This window comes from Homo sapiens, chromosome 4, assembly GCF_000001405.40.
Source record: "Homo sapiens chromosome 4, GRCh38.p14 Primary Assembly".
Classification (NCBI taxonomy): Eukaryota; Metazoa; Chordata; class Mammalia; order Primates; family Hominidae; genus Homo; species Homo sapiens.
This window is the reverse complement of record NC_000004.12, coordinates 56,722,956-56,730,768: the sequence shown is the minus strand read 5'-3', so window position 1 is coordinate 56,730,768 and position 7,813 is coordinate 56,722,956. Positions and strand designations below refer to the sequence as shown.

The 7,813-nt window shown below is 45.2% G+C and overlaps 1 annotated feature.

Annotated features, from left to right (window-relative positions):
• Nucleotides 7,180–7,269: an enhancer, noted in NCBI's record as "active region_21581". NCBI's record gives its function as "activates an Ori minimal core promoter by ATAC-STARR-seq in GM12878 lymphoblastoid cells {active_cell/tissue: GM12878}" and the evidence as "EXISTENCE:reporter gene assay evidence [ECO:0000049][PMID:35858748]".

Sequence of the window (7,813 nt, the reverse complement as noted above, 5' to 3'; positions counted from 1 at the left end):
TAAGGTTATGAGATTTTTCTGTCTTGGTTCAACCAAGGTGGTGAAGACAACTGTCAGAAGAATTATCTTCAGCAGAGCAAATCTTAAGTTTAGGGAAAGTTTGGGCTGGGCACGGTGGTTCATGCCTGTAATCCCAGCACTTTGGGAGGCTGAGGTGGGCAGATCACTTGAGACCAGGAGTTCGAGACCAACCTGGCCAATATGGTAAAGCCCTGTCTTTACTAAAAATATAAAAATTAGCTGGGCGTGGTGGCACATGCCTGTAACCCCAGCTACTTGGGAGGAGGCTGAGGCATTAGCATCACTTGAACCCAGGAGGCGGAGGTTGCAGTGAGCCAAGATTGCTCCACTGTACTCCAGCCTGAGTGGCAGAGTGAGACTCTACCTCAAAAAAAAAAAAAGTGACATCTGGTCATCATTGTCATATTCTATGAGTTACAGATAAGTCACCAGGTGCAGCCCACATTCACAGTGAGCAAATCACACAGGGGTGAGTGCCTGGAGGCGGGGCTCATTGGGGACCACTCAGGCTGGAGTGCAGTGGCATGATCTCACCTCACTGCAACCTCTGCTTCCCGAGTTCAAGCAATTCTCCTGCCTCTGAGTAGCTGGGACTACAGGCACACGCCGCCATGCCCTACTAGTTTTTTGTATTTTAGTAGAGATGGGTTTTCACTGTGTTGCCCACGCTGGTCTTGAACTCCTGAGCTCAGGCAATCCACCTGCCTGGGCCTCCCAAAGTGCTAGGATTATAGGTGTGAGCCACTGCGCCTGGTCTCACTTTCTTGATTTGGTTACAAAAGGTTGTGACTTCACTCTTGCTCGCAAACTCTCTTCGAGTCTCTTGCTAGATTTTTTTTTTTTTAACAGTGTCTCGCTCTGTTGCCCAGGCTGGAGTGCACTGGTGCCATCATGGCTCACTGCAGCCTTGTCCTTCTGGGCTCAAGTCGTCCTCCTACCTCAGCCTCCCAAGTAGCTGGGACCACATGCACTTGTGCCATCATGCCCAGCTAAAATTCTTAAATTTTGTAGAGATGAGGGCTTGCTGTGTTATCCAGGTTGTTCTTGAATTCCTTGGCTCAAGTGATCCTTCTATCTCAGTCCCGCAAAGGGCTGGCGTTACAGGTGTGAACTGCCATGCCTAGCCTCTTGCTAGCTTTGATGAGGCAAGCTGCCATGCTGGAGAAGCCCCTATGGTTAGGTACTGAGGCCAGGCTGTGGCCAACAGCTTAAAAGGAATTGAGGCCTTCGGTTCAGTAACCCCTGAGGAACCACTGAGTGAGTTGCAAATGGATCCTGACTCAGTTGAAAATTTGATGGCAGCCTTGTGAGACATCCTGAAACAGAGATCCCAGCTAAGGGATCCTGTCCAGATTCCTGACCCCAGAAACTGCAATAATAAATACGTGCTGTTTTAAACCATTATGTTTAGAAGTAATTTTTTACACAGCAATAGATAACTAATACAACCATGTACCAAAGTAAGAACTTGGGAGTTGGATTAAGGGCAGAGGTTCAGCTCCAGGACATCAGGGTGGAAGTAGGGGAGGGCTTGTGGGAGAGAGCCACTATAGAAAGAGCATCCCGGCCAGGCGTGGTGGCTCACGCCTGTAATCCCAGCACTTTGGGAGGCTGGGCAGGTGGATCACGAGGTCAGGAGTTTGAGACCAGCCAGACCAATATGGTGAAACACCGTCTCTACTAAAAATACAAAAACTAGCCGGGCGTGGTGGCACGCGCCTGTAATCTCAGCTACTCAGGAGGCTGAGGCAGGAGAATCGCTTGAACCTGGGAGGTGGAGGTTGCAGTGAGCCGAGATCGTGCCATTGCACTCCAGCCTGGTGACAGTGTGAGACGCAAAAAAAAAAAAAAAAAAAAAAAAAAAGGAAAGAAAGAGCATCCCCTGGTCCCACCCCAGGTCCTAATGGGGAGGAGAGTGACTCAGGCTGCGCCCTTCAAGATGGCTGGCAGCTGAGGCTGTTTTAGTGCTTCCTGTTTCAACTGCAGATCTGTCTGGGAACACTTCGTTCTCATCTTGCATCATTGGCCTCCCTCCAGCACTGGAGTATGTACCTTCTGGAAATGCCTACTTATCTTTATGACACCAGTCTCTTCGTTTGTTTATTCATTCATGCAACAACTATGAGCTGGACACTTTTCTATATAGAGTGGATCCACCACGAATAAGAAATCACCCTCACACAGTTAAGAGCTTCTTCTGGCTTAAGAATTCCCATCTTTTTTTTTTTTTTTCTGAGACAGAGTTTCACTCTTTTTGCCCAGGCTGGAGTGCAATGGCCTGATCTTAGCTCACTGTAACCTCTGCCTCCTGGGTTCAAGTGATTCTTCTGCCTCAGTCTCCTGAGTAGCTGGGATTACAGTCACCCGCCACCATGCCCGGCTAATTTTGTAGTTTTAGTAGAGACGGGGTTTCGCCAGGTTGGACAGGCTGGTCTTGAACTCCTGACCTCAAGTGATCTGCCCGCCTCGGCCTCTCAAAGTGCTGGGATTATATCTGTGAGCCACCGCGCCCGGCCGAGTTCTCATCTTTGAAATTGCTCCTCTACCTCCTTCACTGGGGTGCCATTTCATCACACACCCCTTAAAGACTGGGGTTCTCCATGGCGTTGTTCTTGTCTCTAATTTCTTCTCACCTCACACAGTCCTTCCTGGTTGTTCCAGACTTCATGATTCCTTAATCACTTCTAATGATTTGAAATCTACATCTCTAGCTCAACAATCTTTCCGAAAGTCACACTGTAGGGCTACTTACATATTTCATAGACACTTAGATCTGGGAAGAGCATTGAACAATAAGTAAGTAAATAAGTACTGAATGGTAAGTAAGATCTGTTCCTGTGCTGAAAACCAAAAGTGCCAGATTAATTGAGAAATTGAATATCTGCACACTGTCTTATATAGGCATTTTAAGGAATTTTCAGGGGGCTAATTTTAACTTTATGTGATTTATACAGTATGGGATGACTTCACTAAATTAGAAGCTCAAACGACAAAAATTAAACTCATTTCCTCCATCTCTTCCTTCTCTTGTCCTGCCCAAACCTTCCTTTTTTCCTATCTTTCCTCTCCTAAATAACAGTACCATCATCCACCCAGACAATATATGGGGTCATCCAAATTCTTCCCCCTGGCTTTCCCTGACCTCCTCCAATCTCATTAAGTCCTGTAGAATTTACCTCCTAAATACTTATTTCCTTTTCTCCATTATCACTGTCCTGGGCTCATTTTAAGCTTGCATCTTCTTTTGCCAGGTCTAATGTAATAACCTTCAAACTGATCTTCCTGTATCTAGGCTCACTCCCTGTGCTTTGTCCTTCACACCGGTACCAGTGCAGTGTTTCTCATTGCTGAACTGTAACATTCTGGCTCAAATCCTGTAGTGCTGCCTCCCACTGTCCACCCAGTAAAGTCCATATTCATTCACTTGGTGTTTGCAACCCTTCGTAATCTGACCCCGGCTACTTCTCAGCCTCATCTGTAGCTGCTTCTGCACACAAACTCTATGCTCTGCCCACAGGATTTGGAGTCTTCCTGCCATACTGTGGCTTGCTCCCTTTTGCTTGTAAGGCCCTTGCTCGACCTTGTCTACCAGGTGGACTCCAAAGTAATCCTTCAAGACTCAGCTCACACATTTCCTGGACATTCTCAGATAAAATCGATGTGCCCTACTGTCCTATGCATTACTTTTATTATAGCACTTTTTACACCTTCTTTGCATCCAACTCTTCCAAGTTAGTGTTCTCTGCTTGTCTGGCAGCTCCTTGAAGGCAGAAACCCTGTGTTTTTATCTTAAATTTCAATGATTGGCCCTTCACTAGGCATCCAGTGAAAGTTTGCTAAATGAGCACTGTTCACAATAGCAAAGACATGGAATCAACTCAAATGCCCATCAATGACAGTGGATGAAGAAAATGTGGTACATATACACCATGGAATACTATGCAGCCAGAAAAAGGAATGAAATAATGTCCTTTGCAAGGACATGGATGGAGCTGGAAGCCATTATCCTCAGCAAACAAACACAGGAGCAGAAAACCAAACACCACATGTTCTCGCTTATAAATGGGAGCTGAACAATGAGAACACATGGACACAGGGAGGGGAACAACACACACTGGGGCCTGCAGTGGGGTGGTGAGCTATTTAGCATCAGGATAAATAGCTAATGCATGTGGGGCTTAATACCTAGGTGATGGCTTGATAGGTGCAGCAAACCACTATGGCACACGTTTACCTATGTAGCAAACCTGCACACCCTGCACATGTACCCCAGAACTTAAAATAATAAGATAAAATTAAATTTAAAAAAGAAAGTTTGCCGAATGAATAAGTGAATAGGCAAATGAATAGTGCAGGGCGGAGTCCACAGGTGGAGAGACAAATGGGCCCTGACATTGGGAGCTCTAGAAGGAGACCAGGAGAAGTGAAGCTATTTCTCTTTGTTCTCAGAGCCTGCAGCCCCGACTTATGTTCATCTCTTTGTACATGCACACCTGCCACAAAAACTTCTAATTTGGTGAAGTCATCTCCTGCAGTATAAATCACATAAAGTCAAGATTTGCCCCCTGAAAAGTCCTTAAAATGCCTATACAGGACCATATGCAGATATTCAATTTCTCAGTTAATCTGGCACATCTGGTTTTCTCTTCAGCACAGGAACATATCTATTTCTTCAGCTGGGAAACACATGAAGTAGCTTCCTTGCATTCAGTGGCCCTATGAAAGAAAAATACCTATCACACTCATCACAGTAAGATACTCCTCACTGTGAGAAATAGGAGGAAACAGACTGGGTGAGAGACCAGTTGACTCTCATCTAATATATCTCACTCCTACTCGGGGCTGTATGCACTTGGTAACACCCCATTCCCCTCCTCCACCCCAATCACCCAAATCCCAAGCCCACTCCTTGACTTCAAAGTCCCCGAGGCTGGCTGGTCCTTACCAATCCAACCACATGCCCTGCTCCTCCCCAGGGTCACCCACTGCCAAGTTAGTTCATCTTTCTTCCTGCTCTAGTCCCAACTCTTTCCCACTTCTCTTTGCTTAAGCTCTGTCTTCCCTTTTCCTCTCCCTCTATTCAAATACCACCGACAGGTCAAAGCCCAGCATATTTCAACCTTTCCAAAGGTTCAATTCTCTCCATGTCTACATTGATCTCTCTTATTTTTCAATTCTTTTTACCTTTAGGGTCAGAATCGAACATTTAAGTTAAACCTTTAACTGTTAGTCTATGGAGAATTTTCCATCGCAGGGAGTTTTGTAATTCACTAACAAATATCTGTATCTCTTTGTAGAAGGGTAATTGACAAATCAAGACAAATCAGTAATTAGAAGGACAAAACCATGTTGGCAGACTAGGTAACTATGTAGCAACTGAATTGCCCATACACCTTTTTTTTTTTTTGGTTGGGGGGGACATGGCGTCTCTTCGGTTGCTCAGGCTAGAGGGCAGTGGGGTGCTCTGTGCTCATTGCAGCCTTGACTTCCTGAGCTCATGTGATCCTCCTACCTCAGCCTCCCAGCTAGCTGGGACTACAGGTGCACGCCACCACACCCAGCTAATTGTTTCTATTTTTAGTAGAGACAGGGTTTCACCATGTTGCCCTGGCTGGTCTTGAACTCCTGGGCTCAAGTGATCTGCCCACCTCGGCCTTCCAAAGTGCTAGGATTACAGGCATGAGCCACCGCGCCTCTCTCATACACTTGTGATGAGAGTGAAAACTGTTTGGCAGTACCTACTGAAGCTAAATATTCATTTATCAGCAATACCTACGAAAGCTAAATATTCATATGTCAGCTGGGTGCGGTGGCTCAAACCTGTAATCCTGGCGTTTTGGGAGGCCAAGGCGGGCAGATCACTTGAGGCTGGGAGTTCCAGAACAGCCTGGCCAACAGGGTGAAACCCTGTCTCTACTAACAGGATGAAACCCTGTCTCTACTAAAAATTACCCAGGCGTGGTGGCGCATGTCTGTAGTCCCACCTACTCAGGAGGCTGAGGCAGGAGAATCTCTTGAACCTGGGAGGCAGAGGTTGCAGTGAGCCAAGATCACGCCACTGCACTCCACCCTGGGTAACACAGTGAGACTCCGTCTCAAAAAAATAATGATAATTAATAAATAAATATTCATAAATCCTATGATCTAGCAGTTCTATCCATAGATATACACCCAAGAGAAGTGAGTGTTTATATCCACCAACAGACATGCACAAACATGTCCATATAGCTTCCTTCATAAGGTCAAAACTTGGAAACAATTCAAATGTCCATCAGTAGTAGGTTAGATAATATTCTATACAATGAAAAATTTCACATCAATGAAAAAGAAAAAACTGTCACTACACATATAGCATGGATGAATCTCACAGATACAATGAGTGAAAGAAACCAAACACAAAAGAACATGTACTGTATGGTTCAATTTATATGAAGTTCAAGAACAGGCAAAATGAATAATCTATGGTGTTAGAGGTCAGAATAATAGTTATGTTTGGGAATTTATGACTGGGAGGGGACACAAGGGAGTTTTGAGTGTGCTAAAAAATATATATATTGTTTCCTTAGCCTCCCAAAGTGCTGGGATTACAGGCATGAACCACCACACTTGACCTGAACACTTGAAAATATTGATTGGGTAGTGATTACCCAAGTGTCCATGGAAAAAGTTATCAAGCTGTGTACTTAAGATCTGAGCTGTACACGTCACTGCCTCTAAGTCATACCTTGCTTTCATTATCCACAATATATTTCTTTATTTACTCAATCCTAGAATAATTAAGTCATCTTTAAAAGGAGGTAATAATAACTGCCTCTTGGGTGTTGTTGAGAGGATAAAAGAAACAATATGCATAAAAATGCATAACATGAAAGGGCTTGACACGCTGGGATGAAAGATCACTCCACAGACATCCAGAGACACACCCAAGTTCCACCAAAGCTTTTCCTTGGCTGCTTTTCTTTGTCTCCACTTCTCATTCCCCTATTATATGGTTTGGTTCTGTGTCCCCACCCAAATCTCATTTTGAATTATAATCCTCAATGTTGGGGGAGGGACCTGGTGGAAGGTGATTGGTTTATGGGGACAGTTTTCCCCTTGCTGTTCTCGTGATAGTGAGTGAGTTCTTATAAGATCTGCTTGTTTGAAAGCGTGTGGCACTTCCCCCTTCGCTTGCTCTTTCCTGCTCTACCGTGGTAAGATGTGCATCCTTCCCTTTCACCTTCTGCCATGATTGTAAGTTTTCTGAGACATCCCAGCCATGTTTCCTGTACAGCCTGTGGAACTGTGAGTCATTTTCTTCATAAATCACTCAGTCTCAGGTAGCTCTTTATAGCAGTATGAGAACAGACAAATGCACCCCATAAAGGCCCCAGTCCTCCAGCATGCTGATCTCAGCTAGGCACTAGACTTGCTAAGTGCAAGTCTTGTGGACTGGTTTCACATTTACTAGTTTGCAGACCGGGAGCTTGGGGGCGGAGGTCTCATCCAAGTTGCCCCTGGCTCAGGGCTACCCACAGTGCTCAGCTCAAATCAAGCTTCTGGATAAGTAGGGTCTAAGGCCAGCCTTAGCAAAGTGAAGAGAGCCAGCAGATCCAGGGAAGAGGGGCAGTTTACTGGATCCTTTAACCTGCCAAGAGAACTCTAACTCCAGACTACTAATTGCTGGCTGGAAAAAAAAACAGCCTTTTCTGACAATCTATATTGTGATAGCTCCAAGGGGGAATCTTCTAATTGTCTATAAATTGTCCCATAAAGAGGAGAGAACAAGAACTATGGTTCCACATGCACCACT